At 40.2% G+C, this 25,102-nt stretch overlaps 1 protein-coding gene across 7 annotated transcripts in view, besides 1 other annotated feature; it reads right to left on the bottom strand.

Annotated features, from left to right (window-relative positions):
* The window catches only part of TOGARAM1 (TOG array regulator of axonemal microtubules 1), a 112,242-nt gene that overhangs the window by 12,839 nt on the left and 74,301 nt on the right, over nt 1-25,102 (bottom strand). For 5 of the 7 annotated variants that reach the window (NR_131765.2, NM_001308120.2, XM_011536571.2 and 2 more), the window contains 5 exons: nt 17,802-17,907; nt 16,723-16,958; nt 14,890-15,048; nt 9,031-9,157; nt 7,044-7,162 (listed from right to left, as the gene is read on the bottom strand). Coding sequence is in view for 6 of the 7 variants with exons in the window: in NM_001308120.2 (NP_001295049.1) it covers nt 7,044-7,162; nt 9,031-9,157; nt 14,890-15,048; nt 16,723-16,958; nt 17,802-17,907 (747 nt within the window). In the remaining variant the exon portion in view is untranslated. Of the gene's footprint in view, nt 1-7,043; nt 7,163-9,030; nt 9,158-14,580; nt 14,693-14,889; nt 15,049-16,722; nt 16,959-17,801; nt 17,908-25,102 lie in introns of those variants that run through there. The other 2 variants (NM_015091.4, XM_047431147.1) reach the window with 2 other exon arrangements.
* Nucleotides 3,393-3,687: an enhancer, noted in NCBI's record as "tiled region #2603; HepG2 Activating DNase matched - State 5:Enh". NCBI's record gives its function as "activates a minimal TATA promoter and a strong SV40 promoter by Sharpr-MPRA in HepG2 cells {active_cell/tissue: HepG2}" and the evidence as "EXISTENCE:reporter gene assay evidence [ECO:0000049][PMID:27701403]".

Raw genomic sequence — 25,102 nt, 5'->3', positions numbered from 1 at the left:
ACTCATTCATGATTAAAAACTCACAAACTAGAAGGAAACTTCATTAATTTGATAAAGAGCTTTCTATGAAACCTACAGCTAATATCATACACAGTGGTGAAATGCTAAACATTTTGTCCCAAAGATCAGGAATAAGGTAAAGATGTCTGTTATTACTTCTATTTAACATTATATTTGATATTCTAACCAGCACAGTATTAAGGTAGGAAAAATAAATTAGATGCATACAGATTTGAAAGGAGGAAATGAAATACAAGAAGATGCTGGAGAATCATTTGCTGACAGAAAGTAAATGGATGGGGCATGTTGTAAAAGCACAGCAGCCAACCCGAGGGAGCTCCTAAAGCTAGAACCATTTGAAGAGGGAAATAATGGCAGTATTCGATTGATTATACCCCACAGAATAAAATAGAAATCCATTAGTCTTCACGAATATAAATGAATATTTGCATAAATAAACATATGAAGGAAATGGAACAGTTTTTCTGTAAAGAAAAAAATCAACCAATGAATATAGAAGAAATCAAGAAAATAGATCATTATTAGGCAAAAAACCATGTACTAATTGCTGTAGGCAAAATCTCTCAGTGGTGGATAAAATTAGTGGGCATATGTATGGTGAGAAATAGGATATTTACACAGTCTCAAAGTTTCCAAAGATATCTATTAACTATAAATGGAAAAATAGTACAGTGCCTAGCAGAAACCACCATAAGCTAATGATCAAAGTTATCAGTAGTAAGACATAACAACATCATGTACCTTGTGATGTAATACAGTGAGAAGGGTACAACATCACTTCTGTGGTGTTCTTGCATAACTTCTTTTAATTGTGAGAAAATATCAGATAAACCCAACTTGAGAAATATCTATGAAATAAGTTAAGTGTTTGGAAAAGGCCTCCCACACAGTATGCTCTGAATAGATGTTAAGAAAGCATTTTTTAATGGGTTCCAAAAAACATTTTTTGACCAAGATATCTGATCCAGGATCTTATGAGATTATATAATATCAAGGTAGAAAAATTACCAATTCTTATTTAGTAGGTCTGGAAGGAGAATAACATTTTGCATTTCTGGCTGGGTGTGGTGGCTCATGTCTGTAATCCTAGCACCTCTGGAGGCCAAGATGGGTGGATCACCTGAGGTCAGGGGTTCAAGACCAGTCTGGCCAACATGGTGAAATCCTGTCTCTACTAAAAATACAAAAATTAGCGGGGTGTGGTGGCACACGCCTGTAGTCCCGGCTACTTAGGAGGCCAAGGCAGGAGAATCACTGGAACCCAAAAGGTGGAGGTTGCAGTGAGCCAAGATCCTGCCACTGCACTCCAGTCTGGGTGACAGAGTAAGACTCCATCTCAAAAAAAAAAAAAAAAGGCCGGGTGCAGTGTCTCATGCCTGTAATCCCAGCACTTTGGGAGGCTGAGATGGGCAGATCACAAGGTCAGGAGATCGAGACCATCCTGGCTAACACGGTGAAACCCCATCTCTACTAAAAATACAAAAAAAAAAAATTAGCTGGTTGTGGTGGCGGGTGCCTGTAGTCCCAGCTACTCAGGAGGCTGGGAAAGGCGAATGGCATGAACCTGGGAGACGGAGCTTGCAGTGAGCCGAGATCACGCCACTGCACTCCAGCCTGGGCGACAGAGCGAGACTCCATCTCAAAAAAAAAAAAAAAAATTGCATTTCTAAAAAGCTCCTAGGTGATGTCAATGTGGCTGTTTTGTGGGCTGTACTTAAAATATCAAGGTCCCAAAGCATATATTTTCACATACAGCTTTATTTTTTATGTCATTACTTTAGTTTATGAAATATTTCAAAGATAAACAAATACAGAAAATATGAGAGATACCTATGTATACTATGAATATGATGTATTCGTATAATTTTTCAATAGTGTTTGTTTTTTGTTTTGTTTTGTTTTGTTTTGTTTTTTTTGAGACAGAGTCTCGCTCTGTCGCCCAGGTTGGAGTGCAATGGAGCAATCTCAGCTCACTGCAACTTCCGCCTCTGCCTCCTGGGTTCAAAGGATTCTCCTTGCCTCAGCCTCCTGAGTAGCTGGGATTACAGGCGTGCGCCATCACGTCCAGCTAATATTTTGTATTTTTAGTAGAAACGGGGTTTCTCCATGTTGCCTAGGCTGGTCTTGAACTTCTGAGCTCAGGCAATCCATCCACCTCAGCCTCCCAAAGTGCTAGGATTACAGGTGCATACCACTGCACCCAGCCAATAGTGTTTAAAATATATTTAAAGCCAGATGTGGTGGCTCATGCTTGTAATCTCAGCAGTTTGGAAAGCTAACGTGGGAGGATCCCTGAAGCCCAGGAGTTTGAGTCCATCCTGGGCAACATATTAGCCAGGCATGGTGGTGTGCACCTGTAGTCCCAGGTACTCCAGTGGCTAAAACAGGATTGCTTGAACCCAGGAGGTCGAGGCTGTGGTGAGATGTGATCACACCACTGCACTCCAGACCTTGTCTCAAAATGAAGTAAAATAAAATAAAAATAAAATATATTTAAAAACAGAACAAAGAGGTCATAGTAATAATTTTGAAATAAGCAAATGTTAATAGACTTTGTCATCACTATACTGGCCCTATAAGAAATACCCAAATGGGCCCTAAACATGGAAACAAAGGTCGATATTTGCTATCATAAGAACATAAGAAAGTATAAAACTCATAGGTCATATAAAGCAATCATAAAAAGGAAGAGAAAGGAATCAAATGGCAACATGACAGAATTCCACCAAACCACGAAAACAGAGAAAAAGAAACAAATAATTTATAAAACAGGGAGATAACACTTAACAATATGACAGGAACAAAATCTCACATATCAATATTAACCTTGAATGCAAATGGGTTAAATGCTCTACTTAAAAGTTACAGATTGGCAAACTGGATAAAAAACATGATCCAACTATATGCTGCTTATAAAAAACTCACTCTAGCTGAAAAGACACATAGACTAAAATTAAAGGGGTAGAAAAAGATATTCTAGGCTGGGCATGGTGGCTCACGCCTGTAATCCAAGCACTTTGGGAGGCCAACGCAGATGGATCATGAGGTCAGGAGTTTAATACCAGCCTGGCCAACATAGTGAAACCCCGTCTCTACTAAAAGTACAAAAATTAGCCGGGCATGATGGTGTGTGCCTATAGTCCCAGCTACTAGGGATGCTGAGGCAGGAGAATCCCTTGAACCTGGGACGGGGAGGTTGCAGTGAACTGAGATTGTGCCACTGCACTCCAGCTTGGGCAATTGTGTGAGACACTGTCTCAAAAAAAAAAAAAAAGACACTCTACATAAATGGAAGCCAAAAGTGATCAGGTGTAGCTATGTTTACATCAGATAACACAACCTTCAAATCAAAAACAGTAAAAAAAAAGACAAAGAAGGGATGATAATGATAAGGGATGAATTCAGCAAGAAGCTATAACAATCCCAAATATATATGCACCCAACACTGGATCACCCAGATTCATAAAACAAATATTTACTAGACCTAAAGAAAGAGACAGCAAAACAATCCTGTTTTGAGTGTGGACTTCAACATTCCACTCACAGTACTAGGCAGATTATTGAGACAGAAAATTAACAAAGAAACACTGAACTTAAATTGAACTTTAGACCAAATGGACTTAACAAACATTTACAGAACATTTGACCCCAAAACTGCAGAATATACATCTTTCTCATCAGCACATGGAACATTCTTCAACACAGACCATATATTAGGTCACATAATAAGTCCCAACAAATTTTTAAAAACTGAAATCAAATCAAGTATCTTCTTAGAGCACAACAGAATAAAACTAGAAATCAATACCAAGATGAAATTTAGGAACTATACAAATACATGGAAATTAAACAACATACTCCTGAACGACCACAGAGTCAATGACAAAAATTTAAAACATTTTTTGAAGTAAATGAAAAGGGAAACACAAAATACCAAAACCTGTGGGATACAGCAAAAGCAGTGTTAAGAGGGAAATTTATAGCATTAAATGCCTACATGAAAAAAGTAGAAAGCACTTCGTGAGGCTGAGGCAGGAGGATTGCTTGAGCCCAAGAATTTGAGGCTGCAATGGGCTATGATGATGCCACTACACTTCACCCTAGGCAACAGAGTGAGACCCTGTCTCTATAAAAAAAAATAAACAACAAAAAAGTAAAAAGATCACAACTTAACATCACACTTCAAGGAACTAGAAAAAACATAATAAAACAAACCCCCAAGGTTAGCCAAACAAAATAAGTAACAAAGATCAGATGAGAACTAAATGAAATAACCCCCATACCCCGCAAGATTCATCAATGGTTCTTCAAAAAGATAAAATTAATAAATCGCTACCTAGCTTAAGACAGAAGATCCAAATAAACAAAATCAGAAAGGAGACATTAGGACTGATTCGACAGAATAAACAAGGGATCATCAGAGACTATTATGAGCAACTACATTTCAATTCCTGGAAACATACAACCTCCCAAGATTGAACTAGGAAGAAACAGAAATCCTGAACAGACCAGTGAGTAGTGAGAATGAATCAGTAAGCAAAAAAACCCCACAGGACAAGATGGGTTCACAGTCGAATTCTACCAAATGTACAATAAACAAACAAACAAATAAATAAATAAATAAATAAAACAAAAACTTATACCAATCATCCTGAAACTTTCCAAAAATTGCAGAGGGGGAATCTGCCCTAAATTATTCTATGAGGCCAATATCACCCTGATACCAAAACAAGGCAAAGACACAACAAAAGACGAAAGCTACAGACTAACATCCCCTAAAAATATAGATGTAAAAATCCTCAACAAAATACTAGCAACAACAGCACGTCAAAAAGATAAAATATCAGGATCAATTGGGTTTTATACCAGGGATGCAAGGATGGTTTAACACACGGAATTAAAAAAATATGATACATCACACAAACATAGCTAAGGACAAAAACCATATGATTATCTCAAAGGAAGCAGAAAAAGCATTTGATAAAATTCATCATCACTTCATGATAAAAATCCTCAACAAAATAGGCACAGAAGGAACATACCTCAACATAATAAAGGCCATATACAATAAACCCACAGCCAACATCATACTAAATAGGAAAAAGCTGAAAGCATTCCAAGAACTGGAACAAGTCAAAGATGCCCACTTTCACCACTTCTATTCAACACAGTACTATAAGTCCTAGATAAAGTAATCATGCAAGAGAAAAAAATAAAAGGCACCCAACTGCAAAAGTCAAATTATCCCTGTTTGCTGATGATATGATCTTATATCTAGAAAACCCCAAAGACTCCACCAAAAGACTCTTAGATTTGATAAGCGAATTCAGTAAAATGTCAAGATACAAAATCAACTTAAAAAAATCAATAGCATTTCTATATACCAATAAGGAGTAAGCTGAGAAACAAATCAAGAAGACAATCCCACTTATAATAACTAAAAAAGAAATAAAATACCTAGGAGTATATTTTTAACCAAGGAGGTAAAAGATCTCTACAAGGAAAACTAAAAAACGCTGACAAAAGAAGTTGTAGATGACACAAACAAATGGAAAAACATCCCAGGTTCATGGATCAGAATAATTAAAACGACCATACTGCCAAAAGCAGTCTACAGTCTGAATGCAATCCCTATCAAAATACCAATATCATTTATCACAGACTTAGAAAAAACAATCCTAAAATTCGTGGCTCACTGAACCTTTTTTTGGAAAAAAAAAAAAAAAAAAGAGCCCAAGTAGCCAAAGCAATCTTTTTTTTTTTTTTTTTTTGAGATGGAGTCTCACTCTGCCCAGGCTGGAATCCAATGGCGTGATCTCAGCTCACTGCAACCTCCGCCTCCTGGATTCAAGCAATTCTCCTGCCTCAGCCTCCCAAGTAGCTGGGATTACAGGCACCCTCCACCATGCCCGGCTAATTTTTTGTAGTTTTACTAGAGACGGGGTTTCACTACGTTGGCCAGGCTGGTCTTGAACTCCTGACCTCGTGATCCACCCGCCTCAGCATCCCAAAGTGCTGGGATTACAGGTGTGAGCCATGGCGCCCAGCCAGCCAAAGCAACCTTAAGCAAAACCAACAATGCTAGAGGCATCACATTACCTGGCTTCAAATTACACGATAAGGCTATAAAACCCAAACAACATGGTACTGGTCTAAAAACAGATACATACATTAATGGAACAGAATAGAGAACCCAGAAATAAAGCCACATATCTACAACCAACTGATCTTTGACAAAGCTGACAAGAACATACATGGAGGAAAGAGCACTCTTTTCAATAAATGATGCTGAAAAAATTAGATTGCCATATGCAGAATGAAACAGTATCTCTCACCTTATATAAAAATCAACTAAATGGATTAAAGACTTAAATTTGGGACCTACATTTATAAAAATACAAGAAGAAAATCTAGGCAGTACTCTTCTGGACATTGGTCTATGTAAATAATTCAAGACTAAGACCTCAAAATCACAGGTAACAAAAACCACCAGGCCCGGCTAATTTTTGTATTTTTTTGGTAGAGACAGGGTTTTGCCATGTTGCCCAGGCTGATCTCGAACTCCTGAGCTCAAACAATTCTGCCTGCCTCAGCCTCCCAAAGTGCTTGGATTACAGGTGTAAGCCACCACTTCTGGCCTTCCAAATCCTTGTAATGCTTTCATTTTCTAAAGGTTTTTTTTTCCCCTTTAACCATAATTATGTATTACTTTACAATCGGGGGAAAAATAAAGGCTATAAATTTTTAAAAAATTAATCAGAGTTGTCCAAAATAGGCCTAACATCGACCAGTTCAATAACACTAAAGCATTGCTAATGTCCAGTGCAAATAAAAGCAAGTTGCTGTAAATATATAATTGCCTTATTAAATCTAATTACCTCACACTTTCTGGATCCTAAGCAAACTTTTAAAACTCCATTAAATTTTGGCAAATACCCCTGGGGTAGTTTATGAAAACATCCAAATGAGACTACTATCACAAGGGAGTAATTTCTCTGATGAGGACTATTACATCATCTTACCTTTCAGCTGAATTGAAAGCATCTCTAGAAACAGATGATGATCTTGTATTTCCAACACTGCCAGTATGAGATCGTCTTCCTTTTGCTGAAGGAGTATCTAATGGTATCTCCCCCAAACCCTGCAAGTAAATATAAAATTAGTATAATACAAATTTTAAAACTAGTAGTGAAATAATTTACACAATGTAATTTTCAAAGTAGGCATCATTGATTTTTTAAGATGGAAAGTATTTTAATAATCTGATATGCTTTAAAGAGTATGAGATACATAAAACACCTTGTAGTTAGCAGTAAATTAACAAAATACGTGACTAATGGGAAAATATATATTGACTTGTAAAAACGAGTTAAAAACTAAAAATTAATATGCTGTATTTTGGGCTGGGTGTGGTGGCTCACACCTGTAATCCCAGCACTTTGGGAGGCTGAGGCAGGTGGATCATCTGAGGTCAGGAGTTTGATACCAGCCTGGCCAACATGGGGAAACCCTGTCTCAACTAAAAGCACAAAAACTAGCTGGGCATGGTGGTGTAATCCTAGCTATTTGGGAGGCTGAGGCAGGAGAATTCCTTGAACCCAGAGGCAGAGGTTGCAGTGAGCTAAGATCATGCCACTGCACTCCAGCCTGAGCGACAGAGCATGACTCTGTTTCAAAATAATAATAATAATAATAATAATATGCTGTATTTCGTAACTACTCTTCTTAAAGCTTAAAATCTATGTAGAATATATGAACACAGTCCATAAACACTGAACACTGTTGTTCCTATGCAACATTAGGAGTGTGAGAATAAACATTTTGATGAGAACTATTTAAAACTTTTCCTGTACTGGAAAGACTCACAGATGCAATCTGCTTCATTTTAGTCAGATTATTTTTTTTTGCATGGTTATATTAATAAGTTCTAATATGAACTAAGCTGAAACCTTCAGGCTCAACGGGCAGAAAAAAATGCTCTAAAATGTCTATTGCTACATTATTTTTGTAATATTATTCCTTCACAAGTGAGTCCTTATCCCAAGGTCATCAGAGAGAAATGACATAAATTACAATAGAAAAATTTTACTTTATTAAATTAAACATATTTTTAAATTAATATGTAAATAGATTACTTTTCATATTTTATTTCACTTGGTATTCTCTCAGTCACTCATTTATCAGACATTACTGAATTCCCATTATCTACCAGGACAAATAAGACATGGCATGGCTGGGCGCATTGGCTCTCGCCTGTAATCCCAGCACTTTGGGAGGCCGAGTCAGGCGGATCACCTGAGGTCAGGAGTTCAAGACAAGCCTGGCCAACATGGTGAAACCCCGTCTCTACTAAAAAATACAAAAAATTAGTTGGGCGTGGTGGTGGGCACCTGTAATCCCAGCTACTCGAGAGGCTGAGGCAGGAGAATCGCTTGAACCCAAGAGGTGGAGGTTGTAGTGAGCCGAGATCACACCACTGCACTCTAGCCTAGTGGCACAGCAAGACTCTGTCTCAAAAGAAAAAAAAAAAAAAAAAAAAGACATTGCACTTACCCTCAAGGAGCTCCCTAAAAATGTTCTGCAGTGTGGTAATAGCTCTAATAGTGGGACATGCAAGGTAAATAAAGCAGGGACTAAACATGGTAAACATTATTATCCTCATTTTATAAAGTGAGAATTCTAGTTAGAGAAATGAAGAGGCATGTGTAAGTTACACAGTTGCTAACTGTTAGAGCTGCAATTCAAACCCATGTCTTGTTAACTCCAATAAGCCAAACTATATTCTACCAAACATCAAGCTTCTGTGCAATAAACATTTACTTCCAAGGCTTGACAATATGTATGTCTACTTAGTATTGTAATTGTTGAAATGCTATTGCAGATATAGTCCAATAGTCCAAATGATTAACAGAGAAATAATCAAATAAATAATTATTCCTATCCTTTACCTGGATGTAAAAACAAGCTTTGCTTATAAAGCTGTTTATAAAACAAACTTTTCCCACATACCTTTTGCTGTAAGTTTCTAACAGAGTCCTTAATATATGGCAAATCTTTAGATGGGACATACTTTTCAAGCATTTTTTCAAAGTTAGGATGACACATCATGAAGAACAGCATCTTTCGACCATAATACCTGTGAGTATTTGAAAAACAGGTATATTACTTTTTAGACATTAATAAGCTCAGTTGCTGACCTTAGATGCATTGTTTCAATAGAAAAAAAACACCTATCAAACATCAAGATTACCATCCCTATATTAAATAACCATGAAAATATAGATATCCTAACTGTATAGGATACCCTAGAGGGTACAGATGGTCTCCGACTTACAACGGTTTGACTTATAATTTTTCAACTTTATAATAGTGTGAAAGAGATATGATTCTGTGGAAACCATACTTTGAATTTTGACTTTTTCCATGGCTAGTCATATGCAGTATGACACTCTTTTAAGATGCTGGGCAGCAGCAGCGAGCCACAGCTCCCACTCAGCCATATGATCACCATACTCTACAATGTACTGTGTTGCCAGATGATTCTGTCTAAGCGTAGGCTAATGTAAGTGTTCTCAGCATGTTTAAGGTAAGGCTTGGCTACATTATGATGTTTGGTAGGTTAGGTGTTTAAATGCACTTTTGGCTTATGATAATTCCTATTCATGATGGGTTTATTGGGATATAACCTCATTGTAAGTTAAGAAGCATCTGTGGCCAGGTACAGTGGCTCACGCCTGTAATCCCAGCACTTTGGGAGGCCAAGGCAGGTGGATCACAAGGTCAGGAGTTCGAGATCAGCCTGGCCAACATGATGAAACCCCGTCTCTCCTAAAAAAATACAAAAATTAGCCAGATGTGTTGGCGTGCTCAGGTAATCCCAGTTATTCAGGAGACTGAGGCAGGAAAATCATTTGAATCCAGGAGGTGGAGGTTGCAGTGAGCCGAGATCACACCATTGCACTCCAGCCTGGGCAACAGAGTGAGACTGCGTCTCAAAAAAAAAAAAAAAAAAAAAAAAGCATCTGTTGGGATGCTCCCATAATCCCCCTTTAAAGTCACTGTCTTCAAATCCTTCTGCCATGTGCCAGATGGAGAGACAAAAGCTTTGATTCTATTTTTCAGGCACCCCAAGGTCCATATCAATGCTGGCATTTGGGAGAATTGTGAAGTTTTCCTCCATCCTGGGCTCCTTGCCCATTGACCATTTGCTGTCCACCTAAGGGCCAGATGTTCTGGCCTGAGTCAACCCTCCCTAGGTCCTGTATTTCTCATTCTCTGTTTTTCCCTAGCCAAAACTTACCAGGGTTCTGATTCTTCAGAATCCTATTCTTTACTACCTAAAATACACCCAAGGTTAGTTGATAAAATTGTGACTGATATGTTAATACAGGTAATAATCTCAAAAACTAGGTTTTCTTATTTATATGAATTATAAAATAATCATCTTAGCATAATACTTTAAGCCCAATGATTCTAATGGTGGAAATTCAGATATCATGGAAGTGCATACTGGAGATATTTTAGCACACAGATGTCTTATACTACTTCAAAATAGTACCACACTATTCATCTTCAATGAGGCCGGGCCCTAAAATAAATCACAGTTACACTTTTACTCACAACTTGGAATATATGGCACAAAAAGAACCAGAGAAGAGGCTGGGCGTGGTGGCTCACACCTGTAATCCCAGCACTTTGGGAGGCCAAGGCAGGTGGATCACCTGAGGCCAGGAGTTAGAGACTAGCCTGGCCAACATGGTGAAACCCAGTGTCTACTAAAAATACAAAAATCAGCCAGGCATGGTGGCACATGCCTGTAATCCCAGCAACTCAGGAGGCTGAGGCATGAGAATCGCTTGAACCTGGGAGGTGGAGGTTGCAGTGAACTGAGATTGCACCACTGCCCTCTAGCCTGGGTGACAGAGTCTTGGGGGAAAAAAAAAGGAACGAGAAAAAGGCAGGCTTTTGTGGGTTTTGTGGATTGGGGGGATACAGGATGATCTTAAGACCACCCGTCTTGACCAGGCGCAGTGGCTCACACCTATAATCCCAGCACTTTGAGAGGACAAGGTAGGTGGACTGCTTGAGCCCAAGAGTTCAAGACCAGCTTCAGCAACATGGCAACACCCCATCTCTACAAAAAATACAAAACTTAGCCAGGCATGGTGACACACGCCTGTAGTCCCAGCTACTCGGGAGGCTGAGGTGGGAGGATCACTTGAGCTCAGGAGGCGGAGGTAGCAGTGAGCCGAGATTATACCACTGTACTCCAGCCTGGGCTAAAGAGCAAGACCCTGTCTCCAAAAAGAAAAAGATCACATATCTCAACGTGACCCCTTCAAATGTAATGAAATTGCAGGAAGAGAAGTGATGTCAGAGAATAAATATTACCTTTCTCCACAACCAGAATAAGGTCTATATCCAGATAAGTAGCTCCTAATCAGTTATATTTCCAAGGGCAATTCTAATGTTTAGCCTGGAATGTTAAGGACTCTAGGTCTATTACAGGGGACCCAATGATATGAGAAAGGCTAAAACAAACAAGTCAGCAGAGAGCAGGGACACAAAATGTGAGAAATACAAAACTCGAAAATTAATTGTAACCATTTTATAATTTTATAACTTTAAATAAGAATCTAAGAAATGACAAAATGGGCTAGAAAGAATTACTATGCCATCAAGGAAAGGTTAAGTAAAGAAGCACATGAGATGGCCATTAAGAAATCTTTTTTTTTTTAACAAGGTGATAGAGAGGGAGAAAAGAACATCCTTTATTCCTAACTAGCCTATAATGATCTAACCCTCTTGAATTTTTTTGAACATTAACGTGATATGTAGAACTTTAAAATGGTTCCCCAAAGATGTCCTGCTCCAATCCCTAAAATTTGTGAATATAATAAGATATCACTCCCAAGATTATGTTATATCATATAGTACAGTTAACCTTAAAGTAATGACATGATCTGGTGGAATTAATCTAATCAAACGAGCGCTTAAAAGAAGAGAACTTTCTGGCCGGGTGCGGTGGCTCACACCTATAATCCCAGCACTTTGGGAGGCCGAGGCAGGCGGATCACAAGGTCAGGAGATCGAGGTGATCCTGGCTAACACAGTGAAACCCCATCTCTACCAAAAATACAAAAAATTAGCCGGGTGTGGTGGCAGGCGCTTGTAGTCCCAGCTACTCAGGAGGCTGAGGCAGAATCGCTTGAACCCGGAAGGCGGAGCTTGCAGTGAGCCGAGATGGCGCCACTGCACTTCAACCTGGGTGACAGAGCAAGACTCTGTCTCCAAAAAAAAAAAGCAGAGCGCTTTCTGTGACTGGTACAAAAAGAGGAAGTCTGAAAGATCCTATGAAGGGGAGCTCAACATGTTATTGCTGGCTTAAAAACAGAGGAGGGTTGCATGCAAAGAAATGTGAGTGGTGTTAAGGAGCTGAGCAAGGACCCTCACTGACAGCCAGCAAGGAAATGCAGACCTCAGTCTTTTTTTTTTTTTTTTTTTTTTTTTTTTTGAGAAGTTTGTCTCTGTCCTGGGCTCCTTACCCATTGACCATTTGCTGTCCACCTACTGGGCGGATGTTCTGGCCTGAGTCAACCCTCTGTCCCACTCTGTCACCCAGGTTGGAATGCAATAGTGTGATCTCGACTCACTGCAACCTCCACTTCCTAGGTTCAAGCAATTCTCCTGCTTCAGCCTCCTGAGTAGCTGGGATTATAGGCACACGCCACCACGCCCAGCTAATTTTTGTATTTTTAATAGAGACGGGGTTTCATCATGTTGTTTAGGCTGGTCTTGAACTCCTGACCTCAGGTGATCCACCCGCCTCCAACTCCCAAAGTGCTGGGATTATAGGTGTGAGCCACCACGCCCAGCTGACCTCAGTCTTATAACCACAAGGAATTGAATTTGGCAAAGCCCAGCACTGCTATCACCCTGATTTTGGCCTTCTGAAACCATAGGCAGTGAACTGAGGTGAGCCATGCCAGACTTCTGACCTAAAGAACTCTAAGCCAAAAAATGTGGTTGCCTTAAGCTCCTACATTTGTGTTAAACTTTACACAGCAATGAAAAACTAATATATTTACTTTCTGTATTATCTTTAGGTATAATGAGTTCCATAATATTAACTCCAGATACCTAAAGTAATGAACATCTTTGTCTTAAAATAATAAACATTTTATATACTTCTTTACTTTAATCTTTATGACTCAGATTCTTTTAAAAAATTATCCTTTTTTTTTTTTTTTTTTTTTTGAGATGGAGTCTTGCTCTGTCTCTAGGCTGGAGTGCAGTGGCTGAAGAGATTCTCCTGCCTCAGCCTCCCGAGTAGCTGGAACTACAGGCGCATGCCGCCATGCCCGGCTAATTTTTGTATTTTTAGTAGAGATGGGGTTTCACCATGTTGGCCAGAATGGTCTCAATCTCTTGATCTTGTGAGCCGCCCGCCTCAGCCTCCCAAAGTGCTGGGATTACAGGTGTAAGCCACCACAACCAGCCTTTTTTTTTTTTTTTTGAGATGGAGTCTCGCTCTGTTTCTCAGTCTGGAGTGCAGTGGCACAATCTCAGCTCACTGCAACCTCTGCCTCCCAGGTTGGTGTGATTCTCCTGCTTCAGCCTCCTGGGTAGCTGGGATTACAGGCATGTGCCACCATGCCTGGCTAATTTTTATATTTTGAGTAGAGGCGGGGTTTTAACCATGTTCGCAGGCTGGTCTCAAACTCCTGACCTCAGGTGATCTACCTGCCTCCACCTCCCAAAGTGCTGGGATTACAGGTGTGAGCCACCACACCCGGCCATATATCATTACTATAAAAATTTTAGATTTTATATGGGACATTACTGGTCACCTAGTCCACCCTTCCTAATTTTATAGACAAGGAAACAGAGACTAACAGAAATTAAGTAACTTGCTTAAGGACAAACAATGACGGGGACTAGAAATTTAACATAAGCATCTGACTACATTGAAAATTTCTGTCACCACCACAGCCATTATATCATCCACATCTTAATTATTGTGTTGTTTTTCTCTGACTGTTCTTAAACTTCATAAAATTGTTTTTCCAGTAAAAGCATCAGAAATTTGTGTAGTTTTCACACTGCAGATATCTCATGTTTTGTAGGATAATATATTGTTATGCATTATTCCTGTATTTTTCTTTCTTTTTTTTTTTTTTGAGACAGAGTCTCGCTCTGTCACCCAGGCTGGAGTGCAATGGCGCAATCTCGGCTCACTGCAACCTCCGCCTCCCGGGTTCAAGCGATTCTCCTGCCTCAGCCTCCAGAGTAGCTGAGATTACAGGCGCCTGCCACCATGCCCGGCTAATTTTATTGTATTTTTAGTAGAGACGGGGTTTCACCATGTTGGCCAGGCTTGTCTCGAACTCCTGATCTCGTGATCCACCTGCCTCAGCCTCCCAAAGTGCTGGGATTACAGGCGTGAGCCACCACGACCCGCCTTATTCCTGTATTTTTCATGTGTACCTATTTCCTTATTTTACCTGATTGCTTGGAAAATATATCATTTTCCCCTAAATGCATTACCTTACATTTGCCCATAATGAAGTTCTTCTGCCACTTTTCTGCCCACTCACACAGTCTTGTGCCGTTTTCATGAAGTTCATCCCTGTGACTTGGCATCTCACTACCCAGAAGTATGTAGTGTCATCTGTAAATTTGGAGAATTCACTGTGCACTCCCTCAAGAATATTTACAAACTGGTTAAATAAGACCATCCCCCAGCACCAATCCCTGGGACCCCACTTCTCCATTTAGAAAATGTTCATTCTTCTTTAAACTTTCTTTCTTTTCCTACTTTTAAGCCCTTATTAATAATAGATTTAGCAAACATTAGCAGATATTCACCTGGTTTCTTGTGAACTGTCTTGAGCAAACTTAGCAGCAGCTGGTAATATGCGTTCAGCCATATCCTTTGCTGCAGATAAAATACGTTCTGGTTCCATAAATTCCAATACATCTGATAAATGCTGGGCTGTACACCTTCTTACAGCAATGTGTAAATGGCTACAAGGAGACATGATCAATTAAAACAGAGTTGTTATATAAACTATTCTCCAAAGATCTATGGATCTATGGGTTGTTTTTGTTTGTTTGTATTTTGGTTTTGTTTTTTGGGACAGGGTCTTGCTCTGTCACTGAGGCTGGAATGCAGTGATGCAATCATGGCTTACTGCAGCTTTGACCTCCTGGGTTCAAGTGATCCTCCTGCCTTAGCCTCCCAAGTAGCTGAGGCCACAGGCATGTGCCACCACACCCAGGTAATTTGATTTTATTTTTAGTACAGACGAGGTCTTACTATGTTGCCCAGGCTGGTCTCGAACTCCTGGACTCAAGGGATCTTCTCACCTTGGCCTCCCAAAGTGCTGGGATTACAGGTATGAGCCACCACGTGAGGCTAAGATCTATCTTAAAGTTAAATGATTTAACAGCTCCTCAACAATCATCCTGTGAGTCTAAAATGTCAAATTATTTGCATTACTTATCCCTTCCCCAAAAGTTAAAAGCAAAACAAAACTGACATTTAGTTATAGATCTATGAATGTAAATAACATTATTGGAATAACAATAGGGTAACGTTATTACAATAACTTTTATTGAGCTAAAAGTAGATCTACCATTTGATCTAGCAATCCTACTACTTGGAATCTACCCAAATGAAAAGTCATTATGTGAAAAAGATACTTGCACATGTATGTTTATAGCAACAAAATTCAAAATTACAAAGATGTGGAACCAACCTAAGTGCCCACTGACTAATCAGTGGATAAAGAAAATGTTTTATATATATATGTGTATATATATACATATGTGTATATATATGTGTATATATGTGTATATATATACACATATATATGTGTATATATGTGTATATATATACACATATATATGTGTGTATATATGTATATATATGTATATATATACATATATATACACACACACACACACACACACACACACACACACATATATATATATATATATATATATATATATATATATATATACACACACAGACCATGGAATACTACTCTGCCATTAAAATGAATTAAATAGTGTCTTTTGCAGCAAACTTGGATAGAGCTGGAGGCCACTATTCTAATAATGGATTGAAACACCAAAAACCATATGTTCTCACCTATAAGTGGCAGCTAAGTTATGAGTATGCAAAGTCATACAGGGTGATATATATAATGAACTTTATATAATGAACTTTAGAGAAAGAAGGAGAGCAGGAGGGGGGCGAGGGATAAAAACTACACATTAGGTACAATGTTCACTACTCAAGTGATGGGTGCACAAAAATCTCAGAATTCACTATTATACAATTCACCCATGTAACAAAAAACCACTTGTACCCTAAAAGCTATTGAAATAAAAATTAATAAAAAAATAATAATTGTAAGGCTCCTAAAGCCAAATTGCCTAGATGATTTTGTGTGGCAGACATTTTGCAAGGTGCCCGAGGGACAAAAGAAGTATACATATTCTATGAGAAAAATAATAAAAAATTATTCTTTTCATATTCGGCATGTAGTATAATGTTTATCTCATAGGAACTTTTTAATAAATGTTTTTTGACTGATATACTACTAAGATTTGCTTGTTTCTTTTCTACAGTCCCGATTGCAACATTTCATTTTTTGTTTAAAGACATTTCAAGGTTATTTTGAACATTACCTTTGTCCACCATTGATAAGAGAAACAACTGCACGTGCAGGAGTTACATTATTAACCATAGCTCTCAATGCTTTGTCAACATCTTCTCTTATAAATGTATTTGATTCACCAGCCTTGTGCAACAAAACTTTTACTGTGGTATCTAGCTCTTGATCCATGCTCTTTTTCAAATAAGTGAAAAGATCACTTAAACAGACCACAGCAGCACGAGAAACTCCAGAACGTAAATTTTTCACCTAAAAAAAAATTCAAAATGTACATTTTGCTGATATTCTGCAAGAAAATCACTAATAATAACTTGGAAAGGAATTTTACAATGTTTTTTTTTTTGAGTTAGGGTCTCGCTCTGTCGACCAGGCTGGAGTGCAGTAGCATGATTTCGGCTCACTGTAACCTCTGCCTCCCAGGTCCAAGCAATTCTCTTGCCTCAGCCACCTGAGTAGCTAGGATTACAGATGCACACCACCATGCCTGGCTAATTTTTGTATTTTTAGTCAAAATGGGGTTTTGCCATGTTGGGCCGACTGGTCTCAAACTCCTGGCTTCAAGTAACGTATCTTAAACCGGGCGTGGTGGCTTACACCTATAATCCCAGCACTTTGGGAGGCCGAGGTGGGTGGATCACCTGAGGTCAGGAGTTCAAGACCAGCCTGGCCAATATGGTCAAAGCCTGTCTCTACTCAAAATACAAAAATTAGCCAGGTGTGGTGGTGTGTGCCTGTAATCCCAGCTACTTGGGAGACTGAGGCAGGAGAGTCTCTTGAACCTAGGAGGAGAAGGTTGCAGTGACCCGAGATCCCACCACTGCACTCCAGCCTGGGCAACAGAGCAAGACTCCGTTTCAAAAACAAACAAACAAAACCCCACATCTTAATATATATTATCTTTTGTCCTAAGAATCAACATCTATTAAGTTTCTCTTAATGTTGCAAATTAAGACATGGACTACTTTAATTAAATACAAGCCTTTTATATCATATGGTACAGAGTTGTTTAAAAATTTTAAAGGTCAAATAAACATAGCATATTTATCCTTTGTTATTCTAACAATCCTTAACTCATCTGAAAAATAAGTTTACCTCTTGAACAACTGCAAAATTTGTTTCATGCAACTTTGTGTTCAGTATCTCAGAATGAAAAGCAGCTAAGCATCTAATAAAATTCAGTCCCTCAATTTTCTTCTCCCTATGAGAAAAAGAAATGACAAGATCATTCGTTAAATGGGACTCAACTGGAACAGGATCACAAATGTCTTATTTTCTGTGTATGGAATATTGCCAAGGAAGAGGTTCAGAAAGGTGAGAAAGGCTCAGAAGAAAAGTTTTGAGTTTAGCAGAGGTTGGTTCATGAGGTTGAGGGAAAGAAGCCATCTCCATAACATAAAAGTGCAATGTGGGCTGGGTGCAGTGAATCATATCTGTAATACCAGCACTTTGGGAGGCCGAGGCAGGTGGATCAAGAGGTCAGGAGTTTGAGACCAGCCAGGCCAACATGGTGAAACGCTGTCTCTACTGAAAATACAAAAATCAGCTGGGCATGGTGGTGGACACCTGTAATCCCAGCTACTCGGGAGGCTGAGGCAGGAGAATCACTTAAACCTGGGAGGTGGAGGTTGCAGTGAGCCAAGATCGCACCACTGCACTCCAGCCTGGATGACAAAGCAAGACTCCGTCTCAAAGAGAAAAAAAAAAATAAAAGTGCAATGTGAAGCAGTAGGTGCTAATGTAGAAGCTGCAGCAAGTTATCCATAAGATCTAGGTAAGGTAATAGATACAAGTAGCTACACGAAACAGCAGATATTCAGTGTAAATGAAACAGCCTCCTATTAGAAGATGCCATCTAGGACTTTCAAAACCAGTATGATTCTTAGGTGCTAAATTTTCAGAATTGAAGTTATGTTAGCATGCATGAAAACAACATTAATCTCCTTGTACATCTCCATCAGAGCTCCTGAGTGACCGGGTACACTGTCAATGAGCAGTAATATTTACTGTGATTGCTAAAATTACCACAGCCAGCCACTACCACCCTGATCAGTCAGCAGCCATCAACATCAGGGTAAGATCCTCCACTAGCAAAAAGATTACAACTCACTGAGGGTTCAGGTGATCAGTAGTATTTTTTAGCAATTAAGTATTTTTTAATTAAGGCATATTGATTTTTTTAGGCACAATACTACTGTGCACTTATTAGACTACATTATAGTGTAAAGATAACTTTTATATCTTTTAGATTTAAAAGATTATAATTATATTAACTTACACAATCTATAATTGTGTACCTTATACAATTATAATATAGATATAATTGTAGATTTGTGTATTTCTCCTTAAATTTCTATTAGTTGTTTTCTTCATGTATTCTGAAGCATTCATGCATGCTCTCTCTATATGTATTTATGTGTATGTGTATGTGTGTGTGTGTGTGTTAGGACTGATACATCTTCTTGATGCATAGACCCTTTTATGATTTAACAATAGGCCTGGTTAGCTGATCCTTCATTATCTGTCCCTTGGTAATAAAGAGTTACAATTTTTGGTAAGGATTTAAAATTTTTTCCCTAGTGTTCCAGAGAGCTACCAAAGTGCTTTCTGTGAGGAAGTCCCATGGTCTGGTTTATATCTTAACAGCATCAATGGCTGTTATATGAGATGGAGTAATAATGCAAGCATGGAAACCGGTGATGAAACTACAATAGCCATGTGGGAGATAATTACGGCATGAACTAGAGGGATGGCAGCAGAGACTGCAGTAGGTAATTGGTTTCAGGATATGTTCTGAAAATATAAGAATTGATGGAATGTAAAGAAATGAGAGGCCAGGTGCAGTGGCTCACGCCTATAATCCTAACATTTTGGGAGGCTGAGGTGGGCAGATTGCTTGAGCCCAGTATTTCAAGACTAGCTTGGGTGAAACTCTGTCTCTACAAAAAATATAAAAATTAGCCAGGCGTAGTAGTGTGCACCTGTAGTCACAGCTACTTGTGTGGCTGAAGTGGGAGGATCACCTGAGCCCACAGAGGTCGAGGCTGCAGTAAGCTGTGATCGTGCCACTGCACTTCAGCCTGGGTGACACAGTGAGACTCTGTCTCAAACAAACAAAGACAAAAAAAAGTCAACCCTGACTTGGAATGAACAACCAAATGTGTAAGGCAGGGCTATTAACTAAGACAGTGAACACTGAGCGAGAAGTATATTTCAGATTAGGAAGAGGGGAAATAAGAAGTTCTGTGTTAAGAATTTTTATCTCTATGTTCTTGTGCTATATTAAGAATCAGTCTGTAGTCTTCCTGTCTTTGTATGGTTTTAGTATCAGAGTAATGGTAGCCTCAATCAATGAGATGAGAAGAACTCCATCTTATTCAACGTTCTAGAAGCATATGTAGAATTGGTATCTTCGTAAAAACTTTGGGATAAACTATCAGAAACTGAAGTTTTCTTTGTGGAAACTTTTTTGTTTTGTTTTGTTTTGAGAGGGAGTCTTGCTCTGTCGCCCAGGCTGGAGTGCAGTGGCGTGATCTCAGCTCACTGCAACCACCACCTCCTGGGTTCATGTGATTCTCCTGCCTCAGCCTCTGGAGTAGCTGGGATTACAGGCATGTGCCACCATGGCCGGCTAATTATTGTATTTTTAGGAGAGATGAGGTTTCACATGTTGGCCAGGTGATCTCGAACTCCTGACCTCAAGTGATCTGCCCGCCTTGGCCTCCCAAAGTGCTAAGATTACAGGCGTGAGCCACCACTCCTGGCCTCTTTGTGGGAAAATTTAAACAAAAATTCAATTTCATGAATAGATACTGGGTTATACAAGTTATTATTATTATTACTTTTTTGAGACAGAGTCTCGCTCTGTTGCCCAGGCTGGAGTGCAGTGGTGCGATCTCATCTCACTGCAACCTTCTGCTCCTGGGTTCAAGCGATTCTTGTGCCTTAGCCTCCTGAATAGCTGGGATTACAGGCATGGGCCGCCACACCTGGCCAATTTTTGTATTTTTAGTAGAGATGGGGTTTCACCATGTTAGCCATGCTGGTCTTGAACTCCTGGCCTCAAGTGATCTGCCTGCCTTGGCCTCCCAAAGTGCTGGAATTACAGGCATGAGCCACCATGCCCGGTCACAAGTTATCTATTTCTTTATGAATGAGTTTTGGTAGTTTGTGTCTTTTAAATAATTTGTCCATTTCACCTAAGTTGTTGAATTTTGGGGCATCATGCTGTTTATCATATTTCTATATTATCTGTTTAACAGCTGTATGATCAGTAGTGATGTTTCTTCTCTCATTCTTCATGTTTGTAATTTTTCTCTTCTTTTTCTTGGTCAATCTGACTAGAGGCTTATCCGTTTTATTGATCTTCTTCCAAGAACCTGCTTTTGCTTTCATTGATTTTCTCTATTGTTTTCCACTGCAATGATTTCCATATGGATCTTTATTATTTCCTTTCTTTGCTTACTTTGGGCTTCATGTGCTCTTCTGTTTCTAGTTTAAGGTGAAAGCTGATTTCCTTGATATAGAACTTTTCTTCTTTTCTAATATAGGTGTTATACTGTGACATATTCCTCTTTAATTTGGCTACATCCCATAAATTTTGATGTTTCATTCTTTATTTCATCAAATTCAAAATAGTTTGTAATTTTCCTTTTGATTTCTTATTTCTTCTTAGATCCATAGGTTACACATATAAGTGTGTTACTTAGTTTCTAAATATTTGAGCATTTTCCAAATACCTGTCATTAATTTCCAATTTAATTCCAGAGAACAAAATTTATAAAATCTGAATCCTTTTAAATTACTTGTTTTATAGCCTAGAATAAGGTCTTTCTTGGTAAATATATCTTGTGGACTTGAACAGAATGTGAATTCTGCTGCTGTAGGTGGAATGTGTTATAAATGTTAATTGGGTCACATTGATGGCAGTGGCAGCCCCTCTGGAGTGGCTGCTGTGAAGACACCAGCTGTGGCAGGGGAAGTGCGCTGGGACTGTGTGCTCCCTGGAGCCAGCGGGAGCCAGGAACAGGTGGGAGCCATGCCCCCGTCTGAGTAGAAGGGGTAGGAGCCCTGACCTCCTGGGTGCAGCTGCAGCCACTCAGCCACAGCTGCAGACCTGGGCATTCCTGTGTTCTCAGGGGCCCTGGAAACCCCCCTGCCCCCCACAGGCTCAGAAGTGCCTTCTCCCACTGCCTGGTTCTCCCCACTATCAGCACAACCTCCAATTTTGGAGCAAAGTTGTGGCTGATCCTGGATGCTGTCAGGAACTAGCCGGGTGTGCACACACTTGGGGCAGTGCTGACATGGTCCCCTCTGGACTTTGGGCACCAACAAGCATGGGAAGGAAGCCAGGAGGGTGCTAAGAGCAGCTTGGTGTGGGCCTGCAGGCACCCCTCAGCACAAACAGCCTGGGCACTATGGACAGCAGGTTGATGGTGGCAGGAGGCAGACAGGATCCTGGGCAGAAAGGGGCAGGTGAAGCCGTACCTTCAAGCCAGGGACAGACTGAAGCTTGTGGGAGTGGGCTGCTAGTTCCACAGACTGGAGTGAGAACTTATGGTGCTTTTTCCAGGCCTGCCCACGGACCAATCAATATGCACGTCCTCCCCTCTGAAGCCCATAAAAATCCTGGACTCAGCCAGAGTCTGGAAGATGGGATGACCTGCCTGTGGAGAAAAGCTACCCTCTAAGGGTCTCCTCTCTGCTGAGAGCTGTACACTCATCAGCACAACCTGCCTACAGATAGAAGCTACCCACTCTGGGTCTCCTCTCCGCTGAGGGCTGCAGAGACACCAAAACGACCTGCCTGTGGATAGGAGCTACCCACTCCGGGTCTCCTCTCCACTTAGGGCTGCACAGACATCAGGATGACCCGCCTGTGGATAGGAGCTACCCACTCTGGGTCTCCCCTCCACTGAGGGTTGCACAGATGTCAGGACAACTTGCGTGCAGAAAGGAGCTACCCACTTCAGGTCTTCTGAGAGGTATACTGTTACTCAATAAAGCACCTCTTCACCTTGCTCCACAACTGGAGGTTTGCTCCAGTTGTCCACATACCTAATTCTTCTTGGACTCAGGACAAGAATTCGGGACTGAAACATCTGTAACACAAACATGGATGAAATCTCCCCCAACCCCAATCACTTTGCCACCGCTCATGACATTGTGGGCAACGAGAAGGTGAGAAGAAAGAAGGAGAAAAGAGCTGTGGCCCTATGGGGAACCCAGACTTAGGAGCTTCCCAAGCAAGGGCTGTGATACTCTCTTTGGGGTTCTGCAGTTGCTGGCATCTCCAAGCTTCTGGGTGCCACCACATTCCCTGGTGCCCACAGTGGAAGCTGCTTGTGGTATGTCTGGTCCCGCTGTAGCAGGAAGCCAGCAGCTGTTCCAGTGCATGGAGTTGCTTATCCTGCCACAACCAGCATATGCCTGGCTGTGTGCAGTGGCCGGACCCCATGCTCATGCACCCCTCGCCGCTCTGTGCCTGGCTCACCCTTTGTAGGCATGGGATCTGGGCTGGTAGCAAAAGCCAAGCACAGCCTGGGAGGCCAAGTGGGCGGAAAGAGCCCAAGTGGGCCTGAGCAAAACTTGGGCAAAGGCAGCACTGGCCACAGAGGTTTCTGGCTGGCATAGTAACACCTTAAGGATCCCATGACAAAATTGGTCAATACTGTTGTTCAGGCCAGGTGCAGTGACCTAAGCCTGTAATCCTAACACTTTGGAAGGCTGAGGTGGATGGATTGCTTGAGCCCAGGTATTTGAAACCAGCCCGAGTAACATAGAAAAACCCCATCTCTACTAAAAATACATACAAAGAAGTGTTGTCCAAGTCTTCTACATCTTTACTTTTTTCTTTTTTCTTTTTTTTTGAGATGGAGTCTCGCTCTGTCACCCAGGCTGGGGTGCAGTGGCCCGATCTAGGCTCACTATAACCTCTGACTCCTGGGTTCAAGCGATTCTCCTGTCTCAGCCTCCCCAGTAGCTGGGACTACAGGCATGCCCGGCTCATTTTTTTTTTTTTTTAGTAGAGATGGGGTTTCACCGTGTTAACCAGGATGGTCTCAATCTCCTGACCTCGTGATCCGCCCGCCTCAGCCTCCCAAAGTGTTGAGATTACAGGCATGAGCCACCACACCTGGCCATCTTTACTGATTTTCTTTCAACTTGTTCTATTAATTAATGAGAGAGGATTATTGAAGTTCCAATTATAATTAGAGATTTATTTCTCCTTGCAGTTCTATTAGTTTTTGCTTAATGTATTTTCAAGCAATATTATATGGTAAATAAACATCAGGACTGCCATGTCCTCTTGATGAATTAATTCCTTTATAACTATAAAATGACCCTCTTTATTCTGGATGTGGTATACAGAATCCTAAGATGGCATCCATAATTCCTACCCCTGATTTACACAGACTGTATTACACCCTCTCCATGAATGTGTTGCGATATCACTCCCTGTGATTGATACGTGAATGTGTTGGGATATCACTCCCTGTGATCATATTGAGTGTGACAGCAAAAGAGATTTGCAGATTTAATTATGGTCCCTAATCAGTTGACTTCAAGTTAATCAAAAGGGAGATTATCCTGGGGAGGCTTTACCTCCCTTAAAAGAGATAACCAGCAGCAGCAGAGATTCTCCTCCTGACTTTGAAGAAGTAAGCTACATGTTGAGAGGAACTATATCTGTGTGTGTGGCACATAATAAGGACACAAGGTTGACCTCTAGAAGATGAGAGGGTCCCTGGCTGACAGCTAGTAAGATAATTGATAGGGTTTGGCTATGTCCCAGGATTCAGGAGGGAACCACAGGGAGGTAACTGAATCATGGGGGCCAGTCTTTCCCATGCTATTCTCATGATAGTGAATAAGTCTCACAAGATCTGATGAGTTTATCAGGGGTTTCCGCTTTTGCTTCATTTTCTCTTGCTGCCACCATATAAGAAGTGCCTTTTGTCTCCCGCCATGATTCTGAGGCCTCCCCAGTCATGTGGAACTGTTAAATCCAATTAAACCTATTTTTCTTCTCCTCTTGGATATGTCTTTATCAGCAGCATGAAAACGGACTAATACAAAAATGAAAACCACAGTTGCACATCTACAAGGAAGACAATTCTTCCAAACAATGAGCTTCTAAGAAAATTGAAAGAAGAGATCACATCCCTGGCTGATACTTTGATTTCAGCCTAGTGGTATTTTGAGCAAAGAGCTGAGTTAACTTATATCTGATCTCTTGACCCAGAAAACTGAGAGTTAATCAATTTGTGTGGTTTGAATCCACTGAGTTTGTGGCAATTTGTTACATAACAATATAAAATAAATACTCTCATTAATATTCTTTGCTTTGAAATATACTTTGATATTAATATGGCCATGTAATCTATCTTTTGATT

This window comes from Homo sapiens, chromosome 14, assembly GCF_000001405.40.
Source record: "Homo sapiens chromosome 14, GRCh38.p14 Primary Assembly".
Classification (NCBI taxonomy): domain Eukaryota; kingdom Metazoa; phylum Chordata; class Mammalia; order Primates; family Hominidae; genus Homo; species Homo sapiens.
This window is presented reverse-complemented; position numbering and strand designations above follow the sequence as displayed.